The sequence below is a fragment of the Homo sapiens genome, chromosome 16 (assembly GCF_000001405.40).
Source record: "Homo sapiens chromosome 16, GRCh38.p14 Primary Assembly".
Taxonomy (NCBI): Eukaryota; Metazoa; Chordata; class Mammalia; order Primates; family Hominidae; genus Homo; species Homo sapiens.
In genome coordinates, this window is record NC_000016.10 from 57,416,080 (window position 1) to 57,428,186 (window position 12,107).

A 12,107-nucleotide genomic window follows, 5' to 3' on the forward strand; every position below is an offset into this window, starting at 1 on the left:
CTGTCCCCACAGCGCAAGATGCGCTTCCACTCCGGCCTGTCACTCTGGGAGGGTTCTCAGAGAACCTCTGGTCCTGCCCTGTGCAGGTCGGAAAGGGAAACTGAGGCTGAGAAGGGCACGTGGCTTCCGCAGACCACGCACCAGTGAGGGGAGGCCCTGGTGAGAGGCCCGGGCAGGGGCGGGGTTGGCGGGGTCCTGGGAGGCGGCCGCTGGATTCTCTCCCTACCCACCCCAAGGTCTCCCGGTTTCCCCCCAGCCCAGCTCCTGTTCTTGCCCCACGTGGAGCTGAGGACAAACTTCCCCGAGGTGCTGGAGTCAATTTCACAGACTGGCCAGGACCCTGCCGCAGGCCACAGCTCTGCCCAGTGCTGGGGAGCCCCCTGGCCAAGGGTGGGGGAAGCTTGTAGCCCTGTCCTTGCCTTCCCCTGCACTCACTGCAGTCCAGCTGGCCCGGCTCCTCCTGGCCCTGGCTCCCTCTCCCCGCTCAAACTCCAGACCCCAGCTCCAGGGCGAGGGGGCTCTGTGGGTCCTGGGCCCTCTGCCTGCGGCTGACTTCCTAGCCCACTCCAGGCTCAGGCAGGCGGGCGCCACGCGGCCCTGTGGTTCCTCCTGACTGAAGTGTGATCCCCACCCGGCCCTGGCTGCGCCCAGCCTGCCGGAAGCCGGCCCAGCACAACCGCCCACCGACTCGCTCCCCCAGCTCTTAGGGACTGCCCTGAAGCCGACCCCTGCTCCGCGTGGTTCTCTCATTGTGTGTGTGTGTGTGTGTGTGTGTGTGTGTGTGTGCGTGCGCGTGTGTGGCAGTCCCAGCTCCTCCATTAGGTTGAGAGCTCCGTGAGCCACTCCGGGGACCCCACACCCCTGTGCTAAAAAAGATGGGGACTAGAGGCTCAGGACACCCCACCCCCAGACCCCTCTGCCCATGCCCAGCTAAGGGCTGAGCACAGAGGAGTCGGGGCCTAAGCCTTCTAGTTCTCTCTCACTCTCCCAACCAGCGATGGGGCCGTGGCTTCTCTCTGAACACAGTTTGGCGGCAGGGGCGCGGGTCCTTCTCTTCCGAGGACCTTGTGGCGGGCATTGTTTGGTGGGGCTGCGGTTAGAAGGGCAATTTCCAGGCCCGGCTGTTGCCTCCTGCTGCTCCCTTGTGGCCAGTCAGCTCATTGCAGGGCAGATGATAGAACCCAAGTTTACTTTCCAGTACGGGCACAGCGATAACGAGGTTGATAAAACCAGTGAACTGGCTTGCCTGTGACTCTAGGGTCTCTTCAGCCGCAAGTGGGCTCATCTCCTGTCCTGATGCCGAGGAGGATCACTTGAACAACTGCCTAAGACCCAGAGTCCTGGGGATGGCCCAGTCTGAGTTCTTCATGGAAAATTGTCCTCTGAATCCACCGGGAGGAGGAAGGATGATCTAAAAAGGGAGGGAGGCAAGGAGAAGCTCCTAAGACAGCAAAGGCCAGAGACAGCCGGGGTCTGGACCCCTGCACCCTGCAGGCGAGAGCTGGAAGGACTCTCAGAGTGCAATGGCTCCATCTCAGCTCACTGCAACCTCCGCCTCCCAGGTTCAAGCGATTCTCCTGCTTCAGCCTCCTAAGTAGCTGGGATTACAGGCGCCCGCCACCACACCCGGCTAATTTTTTTGTATTTTTAGTAGAGACGGGGTTTCACCATGTCGGTCAGGCTGGTCTTGAACTCTTGGCCTTATGTGATCCACTCGCCTTGGCCTCCCAAAGTGCTGAGATTACAGGCATGAGCCACCGCGCCTGGCCTCCAGCAAACTTCGTTTAAAAAAGCAAGACCTTTTTTGTTTTTTCCCTACTGAAATCCTACTCAGAAGCCCATATTGTAAGCTTAGGTAAGTAGAGCTGCCGTGGAGGCCTGTGAGGAGGTGGGGAGTTGCCAGAGGGTCCCTGAAAGTGAGATAGGGTGGGGCATTGCATAAAGGCAGGGAAGAGGTGGATCCAGGACTGGCAACAAAACGCAGGATTCAGAATCCAAGTATTCACGAGCAGCATCCGGTGCAAGCTGGGGGATGGTGAGATGCAAGAGATAGGACAACTGCCATGTGACCTTAGGGCATTTTAAGGAGGTGTGACCTGGAGACTGCTGTGATTGGAAAGACTGCTGGGAGGGAAAAAGAGGAATGGGCAGGTTCGGGGTGAAAAGTGAGGAGAAGCGCCAGACTTATGTTGTTTCTTTCACCTGGTAGGTGCCTCCCCTCCTCCCCCACCCCACCCCTGCTTTTTTTTTTTTTTTTTTTTTTTTTTTTTTTCAGATGGAGTCTGGCTCTGTGACCCAGGCTGGAGTGCAGTGGTGCGATCTGGCTCACTGCAACCTCTGTCTCCCGGGTTCAAGCGATTCTCATGCCTCAGCTTCCTGAGTAGCTGGGATTATAGGTGTGCACCACCACACCTGGCTGATTTTTGTATTTTTAGAAGAGATGGGGTTTTACCATGTTGGCCAGGCTGGTCTCGAACTCCCGAGCTCAAGTGATCCGCCCACCTCGGCCTCCCAAAGTGCTGGGATTACAGGCGTGAGCCACTATTCTGAAATCCAGTTTCTCTTCAACGCTCAACTCAGTGCTGCCTCTGCCACAGCCAGCCTACTCAACCTCAGCTGTGTGTCCTCCACCTGCACCCAACGCTCACCTTAGTCTAATCCTGACCACACTCTACCCCTTGTAATTGGAGCTGCTTGGGTGATTTACCCAATAAACTCACTGAGCAGGTATTTGGGTCAGGAAACAGTACCAGACTCATTTATGAGGAGGGAAAAAAGCTTTGTGCACAGTGTATATTTGATTTATACATTTTCATCAGTGCTGCTCAGGTGAATTCCACAAGGGGCACTAGTGGGGAAAGAGAAATTTCCTGGGGAGCCCTAATAACCCGGCTTGAAGCATATTGCATCTCCAAACGTGGAAATTAGAATTGGGTTGTTTTCCAGTGGCCCACCAGAGGGCACTCTGCTCTTAGGAGGAAGTTCTGAGGCTGATGCGCCAGGGGCCCTGACCCCACCAGCCAGACTCCGGCCCCATCGCTGTCCCCAGGGGCTGGGATCAGCCACATCTGGTTGTAGCTGCACTAGGCCTTGGGGCAGGGGTGTCTGTAGCTGGCCGGCTCTCCTCTTGTGGGAACAGAAGCAAAGAAACCGCCAATTACACTGTCTGGGGTTTGCTGGATGAAGAGGAAGAAGGAAGAAACCCTGCTGGGACTAGCAGGGCCACTAACTCCAGACGCAACCTGGGCAGTGCCAAGAGCTGTGGGCTGGGGTGTTTCACTGTGTTTTCTTAGAGACTGTATTTGGTCTATTTGGCATCCATTTATCACAGGGCCAAATCACAGGGCCAAAAGCATTTATACCTCCCCTGCAAGCTGGTTTTTGCAAGTGTTTGAAAGTAATAATAGTTACAAACCCTCCAACCAATCCCAATCACAGGCCCCCCAACCATCTCTATTTAACTCTCACACCAAGCCAGTATTTCCCCTGCCCTAAATCACCCAGAGCCAGGTAGAGACAACTAGGGACGGCCCCTAAGCCCAAGGCCCCCTGGAATTATTCCAACTAGCCAGACCCGGGCTGCTTCCCCTGGCCTGCCTTGCACTTCGGGTGGAAACCCCACAAAAGGCTGTGGCCTGTGCTGTTCTGATCCTTCCTTTCAGCCTCCTGACCAAACTTGGTGCTCCCCCTGTGGCCCCGTGTGTGGTCCTGCGTGTGTGCCATGCCCTGTTCTCCTGGGAGATGCAAGTGATGAATTCTTTCAGTGTCCTTGGTCGCTCTGTGTTGTCACTCAGTCACCTCCATCAATTCAAATCCTGGGGGTACATTTTAAATTTTTTAAATTGATGCATAGTAATTGTACATATTTATGGGATACATATGATACTGTGACACAAGCATACAATGCATAGTGATCAGATCAAGGTAATCAGGATATCCATCACCTCGAACATTTATCATTTCACTGTGTTGGGAACGTTTCAAATCTTCTCTTCTAGCTATTTTGAAATATACAATAGGCTGGGCATAGTGGCTCACACCTGTAATCCCAGCACTCTGGGAGGCCAAGGTGGGAGGATCACTTGAGCCCAGGAGTCTGAGACCAGTCTGGGCAACATAGTGAGACTCAGTCTTTACGAAATGCACAAATTAGCCAGGCATGGTAGCATGCGCCTGTGCTGCCAGCTACTCAGGAGGCTGAGGTGGGAGGATCACTTGAGCACAGCAGGTCAAGGCTGCAGTGAACTGTGATGGTGCCACTGCACTCCAGCCGGGGTTACAGAGGGAGACCCTGTCTCAAAAAGAAAAAAAAGGCTGGGCATGGTGGCTCACGCCTGTAATCCTAGCACTTTGGGAGGCCAAAGTAGGTAGATCACCTGAGGTCAGGAGTTCTAGACCAGCTTGGCCAACATGATGAAACCCCATCTTTACTAAAAATACAAAAAAATTAGCTGGATGTGGTGGCTGGCACCTGTAATCCTAGCTACTCGGGAGGCTGAGGCAGGAGAATCGCTTGAACCCGGGAGAGGTTGCAGTGAGCCAAGATTGCACCATTGCACTCCAGCCTGGGCGATAAGAGTGAAACTCCATCTCAAAGAAAGAAAGAAAGAAAGAAAAAGAAAGGAAGGAAGGAAGGAAGGAAGAAAAGAAAGAAAGAAAAAAGAAATACACAATAAATTGTTTACTATAGTCACCCTACTGTGCAATCGAACACTGGAAATTATTCCTTCTATCCAGCTGTTTGTTTGTACCCATTAACCAATCTCTCCCCATCACCCCTCTCCCCTAAATAGAACTACCATATGATCCAGCAATCCTACTACTGGGTATTTATCCAAAGGAAAGGAAATCAATATATCAAAGGGATACCTGCACCCCCATGTTTATTGCAGCACTATTCACAATAGCCAAAATATGAAATCAACCCGTGTCCATCAATGGAGTAATAAATAAATAAATTTGGTACATGTACACAACAGAGTACGATTCAGCCATAAAAAAAGAAGGAAATCCTGTCATTTGCAGCAAAATGGATGGACAGTCATTATGTTAAGTGAAATAAGCCAGGCACAGAAAGACAAATATCTCATGTTCTCACTCATATGTGGGAGCTAAAAAAAGTTTATCTTCGAAAGTACATTTTAACACAAAGGGTCAGGGACCTGTTTGGAGTCTCTGCTTTGCCACTGACTGGCCGTCGGACCTGGACACATGCGCCTCACCTGCCTGAGCCTCACCTGCCTGAGCCTATTTCTCCATGAAGCAATGGAACTGGACCTTCTCTCACCTGTTTGGGGATGTGCCAATATGGCTACTCCTCTACCTCTCACATCGCCCTTAGCGGACCACAGTCTTAGAAAACCTGCCGTTTCTGGTCGGACGCAGTGGCTCACAATCATGAGGTCAAGCGATCGAGACCAGTGTGACCAACATGGTGAAACCCCGTCTCTACTAAAAATACAAAAATTAGCCAGGCATGGTGGCGCGTGCCTGTAATCCCAGCTACTCGGGAGGCTGAGGCAGGAGAATCACTTGAACTCGGGAGGCAGAGGTTGCAGTGAGCCGAGATCACGCCATTGCACTCCAGCCTGGGTGACAGAGTGAGAGTGAGACTCTGTCTCAAAAAAAAAAAAAAGAAAAAGAAAAGAAAAGAAAGAAAAGAAAACCTGCCATTTCCTCATAATTGAACTGCCATCACCTGGATATTCCCTGTGCCCTTCTCCAAAGCCAGCATGGCAACCACGGGGGTGAAATACTCAGACGAGCAAAGGGATCAGGGCTTTAAGAAGCCAGCCTTCAGCCAAGCATGGTGGCTCACACCTGTAATCCCAGCACTTTGAGGGGCCGAGGCAGGCGGATCACTTGAGGTCAGGAGTTCAAGACCAGCCTGGCCAACAGGGTGAAACTCTGACAGTACTAAAAATACAAAAATTAGCTGGGCATGGTGGTGCATGCCTGTAATCCCAGCTACTTGGGAGGCCGAGGCAGGGGGATTGCTTGAACCTGGGAGGTAGAGGCTGCAGTGAGCCCAGATCAGTCCACTGCACTCCAGCCTGGGCAACAGAGTGAGACTCTGTCTCAAAACAAACCAACCAACCAACCCTGACCAGTACTCCTCAAAATGATCAAGCTCATCCAAAACAAGGAAAGTCTGAGAAACTGTCACAGCCAAAAATCAGCTTTCAAAGGACTTGTTAAGTCCTTGCACATACATGTTCATGGTGGGATATTTACTACAGCACAAAGCTGGAAACAGCCCAAGGCCTATCAACAGCTGAATGGATAAACAAAAGTGGTCTAACCATATAAGGAAGATTTTTCTGCATGGATACGCCCTACGATATGGGTGAAGCTCGAAACACTCTGTTAAGCTAAAGAAGCCAAACGCAGAAGGTCACACAGTGTATAATTTCATTCATATGAAATGTCAGAAGTAACTCCATGGAGTCAGAACGCCCACTGGTGGTGACCAGAGATGGTGGGAGAGGAAGACCGGAAGGGACTGCTTACTGGGGATGGGGTTTCCTTTCAGGGCAATGAAAACATTTTGGAACTAGATAGAGGTGGTGGTTGCACCACACTGTGAATGTACCAAATGCTGCTGAATTGTTTATTTTAAATCGTTCATTTTATGTTATGTGAATTTCATAAAAAAGACATATTCAATATTCACTTTTCTGTAGAGTAGCAGGCTTGGATGAGACATATATCAGCTCAGGACAAAGGAGTCCTCTGGGAGGACAGCGAAGGGATTTTGCCACTGCTGTATCACTTGTGTACGAAAAAAAGGAGTGATCAGAATCACACACAGCAAAGCTAGTTGTCTATTGGAAATTCTCTGTATTTGAAATCTTTCATGATTTAAGAGAAAAAATGTTTAAGTAATAATAGAAAATCAAAAAGGAAGGAAGGAAGGAGGAAAGGAAGGAAGGGAGGGAGGGAGGAAGGAAGGGAGGGAGGGAGGGAGGAAGGAGGAAAGGGAGGGAGGGAGGGGAAGGGATGGAGAGAGGAAGGAAGGAAGGGAAGGAAGGAAAAGGAAGAAAGGGGAAGGAAGGGAAGAGGAGAAGGAAGGAAGGATGGATGGTGGGAGGGAAGGGAGGGAGGGAGGGGGAGGAAGGGAGGGAGGGGAAGCAATGAAGGAGGGAGGGAGGGAAGGAGGGGAAGGAAGGAAGAGAGGGAAGGAGTGAGGGAGGGGAAGGGAGGGAGGGAAGGAGGGGAAGGAAGGAAGAGAGGGAAGGAGTGAGGGAGGGGAAGGAAGGGAGGAAAGAAGGAAGGAAAGAAAGGAGCATTCTAACCCAGCTGAGTCTGAACGCAGTCTCCAGATCAGCACAGAGGTTTGCAGAGGTGAAAGCCTCATGCTGGATGGTGGGCCACGGGTAACCAATGACCAGACCACCAGCTTGACCACCAGGAGTGACCACTGAAGGTGAGATCTGAAGTCACTGAGGGCTGAGTGGGGGCTTCTGTCCCTGCTTTCCCCGAGAGGGGTGAAGTAAGAGCCACCCAAGAGCTGCCCCATCCCCACCCCTACTTAGCACAAAGCTATTTTATACATTTGTGTAATTTGTAGCAAAAATTTTGGTCACAAACAGTATTCACCTGCTCTGTGACAACCTTCTCCCTCTGTTACTATTATTCTGAGGCAGCTTTATATATATAGATGCCGTACTAGTTCCACTTTAAAAATTTTGCATGAGATGATAACGGGGTCAAGTGTTCCACAGAGGTTCGTGTCGGGGAGAAGCAGGACTTTGTCCTGGGCTAGCAGTATTCTTCTTAAGACCCAGGGTTTCATGTGAGAGGTTTTCAGGTTTTTTCAATGAAGTTTCTTAGAAATACAAATCCACTGGTCGGGCGTGGTGGCTCACGCCTGTTAATCCCAGCACTTTGGGAGGCTGAGGCGAGTGGATCACCTGAGGTCAGGAGTTCAAGACCAGCCTGGCTAACATGGTGAAACCCCGTCTCTACTAAAAAATACAAAAAATTAGCCGGGCGCGGTGGCGGGCGCCTGTAGTCCCAGCTACTCGGGAGGCTGAGGCAGGAGAATGGCGTGAACCCGGGAAGCGGAGCTTGCAGTGAGCCGAGATTGCGCCACTGCAGTCCGCAGTCCGACCTGGGCGACAGAGCGAGACTCTGTCTCAAAAAAAAAAAAAAAAAAAAAAAAGAAGAAGAAATACAAATCCATCATGTATATAGCAGGTATACAAACACATAAAAATAAACACTTGTATACCCACCGTCCAGCCTAAAGAAATAGAACTTTCCTGCTGATGAAGTCCTGCCTCTTTCTCCCGTCTCCCTTTGGAGCCAACTGTGGTCCTGAATTATATCATTCCCCTTGAGCTCTTTATTAGTTTTGTCACACACATACATGTGTGTATACATCATGTATATGCACATATGTATGTGTATATCCTTAATGACAGGCTGATGCATCTGGCATGTTTTTGAACTTTATGTAAATGAAATATTTCTCACACACACACACACACACACACACTTCTGTGACTTGCTTTTGTGGCTTCTGTTGCTTCGTGATTCTTCCATGTTGAAGTGCACAGCTATAGCTCATCACTGCTGTGCAGTGTTCCACTGCTTGGACGCACAGCTCATTCATTCACGCTCTTGTTAATGGACATTTGGATTGTCTCTTAGAAGTACTGCTGCTTTGAATACTTGTCTCCTGGTGCATGGGCCAAAGAATTTCTCTAGGGCAGTGGTTCTCAATCCTGGCTGCACTCTACAATGACCTGGGAGAGCTTTGCAAAAATGCTGATGCCCTGGGCCCTACTCCAAGGGATTCTGACTGAATTGGGTTTTGGAGAGGAAATCCAGGAATAGGCTTTTGTTTTGTTTTGTTTTGGTTTATTTTTGGAAGCTATCCAGGTGATTCTAATATGCAGCCAGTGTTCAAAGTGACATGAGGGTGACATTGCCCAAAGTATCCCTACCAACAGGGAGTTCTCACCCGGCCACATTTTCACCAATACTTGGTAAGGTTTCTGTTTAGCCTTCTCCCTGCCACAAGGACAGGCAGCTGGGCTGTTCACAGTCTCTCTTCTCCAGTGCAGAGACCAGGGTGCTTCCAGCATGCCAGGCTCCGCTGTGGGGTTCTCCCTTCAGCCCCACTGCCTGCCTGTGCCCTTGGACCCCACTGTTACACACGAGGGCCCATTCTGCAGCTCAGGGGTATCTTCATCTGGAGCAGGTTTGCACCCTCATCTGCTCTCCCTTCTCTCCTGTCCACACTCTGGCTCCAAAGCCTCTGCTCTCATCTCCTTCCAAGTATTTTGTGGTTCTGTTTTGGCTGCCTCCTAACCCCAAGGAAGGTAATGGTTTGTCTCTGCTGTCCCCTCCATTTACTGATTTTGAATGATTTCGGAAGGGGGAAGTCCCAAATGTACACTGCCAAGTTCTAAGCTAGAGACTTTAGAAAACTAAAAAAGAAGAAATATTACACCCCCAGCCCCATCTCGGTCCACATTGGGCTGACTCAGAACATCCAAGGACATCAGGCCTCAGTACTTTTTTTTTTTTTTGAGATGGAGTTTCACTCTTGTCACCCAGGCTGGAGGGCAATGGCACCATCTTGCCTTACTGCAACCTCCGCCTCCTGGGTTCAAGCGATTCAACTGCCTCAGCCTCCAAAGTAGCTGGGATTACAGGCATGCACCACCACACCTGGCTAATTTTTGTATTTTTAGTAGAGGTGGGGTTTCACCATGTTGGCCAGGCTGGTCTCGAACTCCTGACTTCAAGTGATCCACCTGCCTCGGCCTTCCAAAGTGCTGGGATTACAGGTGTGAGCCACTGTGCCGGGCCAGGCCTCAGTACTTTATTTTTTTGAGACGGAGTCTCGCTGTGTCTCCCAGGCTGGAGTGCAGTGGTGTGATCTCGGCTCACTGCCAGCTCTGCCTCCCAGGTCCAAGCGATTCTCCTGCCTCAGCCTCCCGAGTAGCTGGGACTACAAGGCACCCACCACCACACCCGGCTAATTTTTTGTATTTTTAGTAGAGATGGGGTTTCACTGTGTTAGCCAGGAGGGTCTCAATCTCCTGACCTCATGATCTGCCCACCTCAGCCTCCCAAAGTGCTGGGATTACAGGCGTGAGCCACCACACCCGGCCAGGCCTCAGTACTTTTAAGAGGTGCTCAGGTGAATGATGGCAGCAGGTTACCCTCCCAGTCTCACCCTTTCCTCAGATGTAAGATGAGGTTGCATTCAGTGATTATAAGAGCCCATGTTGGCTCCAATACTGTGAGCTTGCTGAACGCTGAAACCTCTAGCCTGTCTGGCTGTTGCCTCACTGGGTGCAGGTGTAGGTGCAGGTGTGTCTGAGCCCCCGGCCCAGGTGTGTCCTGCTGATTGGCAAGGACTCTTCCCTCACTCTGGGCCCCAGACTCCGAGCTAGCTGGCTTGCCCCGGACCCTGTGGAGTGACACGGCAACTGCCGGCATAAAATCATTAACTATGCCAACTGCAGCAGACAGGAGATGGCAGTATCCTTTTTGCCAGCAACAGCTGGGACTCAGAGCAAGAATCGGCGAGGGCTTGTGGCATTTGCTAGGCCTGTCCAGGAAGCTCTGGCTCAGGATCTCTTGTCCTCAACATGGAGGTTGAGATTTTTGTCCTTCATATGGGCAAGTGCAGCAGAAGCAACCAACAGTGGCCCTGCAGCTTAATAATTATGTTACTATCGGACCAGGCAGTGGCTCACACCTATAATCCCAGCACTTTGGGAGGCCGAGGCAGGTGAATCACAAGGTCAGGAGTTTGAGACCAGCCTGGCTAACATGGTAAAACCCCGTCTCTATTAAAAATACAAAAAATTAGCTGGGCGTGGTGGTACATGCCTGTAGTCCCAGCTACTCGGGAGGCTGAGGCAGGAGAATCGCTTGAACCTGGGAGGCAGAGCTTGCAGTGAACCGAGATCACACCACTGCACTCCAGCCTGGGTGAGAGAGCGAGACTCCATCTCAAAATAATAATAATAAATAATAATTTTGTTACTGTCAAACCATTCTGGGGCTGAATTAGTTTCCTACTGCTGTGTAACCAACGACCTCACATTTAGCTGCTTAAAACACCCATTTCTTATCACAAGTTCTGTGGGCCAGGAGTCCTGGCACAGAAGACCGGGGCCTCTACTCAGGATCTTACAAGGTGCCGGCTAGGCTGCATTCTCAACTGGAACTTGGGGTCCTCTCCAAGCTAACCTGGTTGTTGGCAGAATGCGGTTCCTTGCAGCTGTGGACTAAGGTCCCCTTTTTCTCGACTGTCTGCCAGCATGTGAGGAGCCTGCACTCACAGTTCCTTGCCAATGGCCCTCTCCCTACTTGGCAACTGATATGGTTAGGCTTCGTGTCCCCACCCAAATCTCATCTTGAATTGTAATCCCCATAATCCCCACGTGTCAAGCGAGAGGGGTGGAGGTAACTGAATCATGAGGGCGGTTTCCCCCATGCTGTTCTGATGATAGTGAGTTCTCACAAGATCTGATGGTTTTATAAGGGGCTCTTCCTCCTTTGCTCAGCATGTCTCCTCCCTGCCACCTTGTGAAGGAGGTGTCTTGCTTCCCCTTCGCCTTCCGCCATGATTGTAAGTTGCCTGAGGCCTCCCCAGCCATGCAGAACTGTGAGTCAATTAAACCTCTTCCCTTTAAAAATTACCCAGTCTCGGGCAGTTCTTTATAGTAGTATGAAAACAGACTAATACAGCACTTACTTCTTCATGGCTAGCAAGAGAAATTCTTCTCTAGTTCTTTTAAAGGATCAACTGATTGGGTCAAGCCTACTCAGGATAATCTCCCTTTTAATTAACTTCAAGTCCATTAGGGACTTTAATTACATCTGCAAAATCCCTTCACTTTTGCCACAGAAGGTAACCTAATCACAGTAGGGATTATCCCATCACATTCACAGGTCCTGCTGAAACTCAAGGGGGTTATTACACAAGGGCATGAGTCACTAGGGGTCATCTTAGACCTGTGTATAAAAGGGGCTTTGGAGCCAAACTTCAATTAGCCAAACAAACAACTAAAATCCACCAGCAGGGACTAGGATAAGCAAAGCAAACTTGGAGAATCAAATCAAGTTTCAAGGACAGA

The 12,107-nt window shown here is 50.6% G+C and overlaps 3 annotated features.

The window, feature by feature from the left end:
* Positions 38-553: an enhancer, noted in NCBI's record as "H3K27ac-H3K4me1 hESC enhancer chr16:57450029-57450544 (GRCh37/hg19 assembly coordinates)". NCBI's record gives its function as "activates a minimal SCP1, AML or CMV promoter by ChIP-STARR-seq in naive H9 embryonic stem cells {active_cell/tissue: H9 hESC(naive)}" and the evidence as "EXISTENCE:reporter gene assay evidence [ECO:0000049][PMID:30033119]".
* Positions 554-1,069: an enhancer, noted in NCBI's record as "H3K27ac-H3K4me1 hESC enhancer chr16:57450545-57451060 (GRCh37/hg19 assembly coordinates)". NCBI's record gives its function as "activates a minimal SCP1, AML or CMV promoter by ChIP-STARR-seq in naive H9 embryonic stem cells {active_cell/tissue: H9 hESC(naive)}" and the evidence as "EXISTENCE:reporter gene assay evidence [ECO:0000049][PMID:30033119]".
* Positions 1,586-2,100: an enhancer, noted in NCBI's record as "H3K27ac-H3K4me1 hESC enhancer chr16:57451577-57452091 (GRCh37/hg19 assembly coordinates)". NCBI's record gives its function as "activates a minimal SCP1, AML or CMV promoter by ChIP-STARR-seq in primed H9 embryonic stem cells {active_cell/tissue: H9 hESC(primed)}" and the evidence as "EXISTENCE:reporter gene assay evidence [ECO:0000049][PMID:30033119]".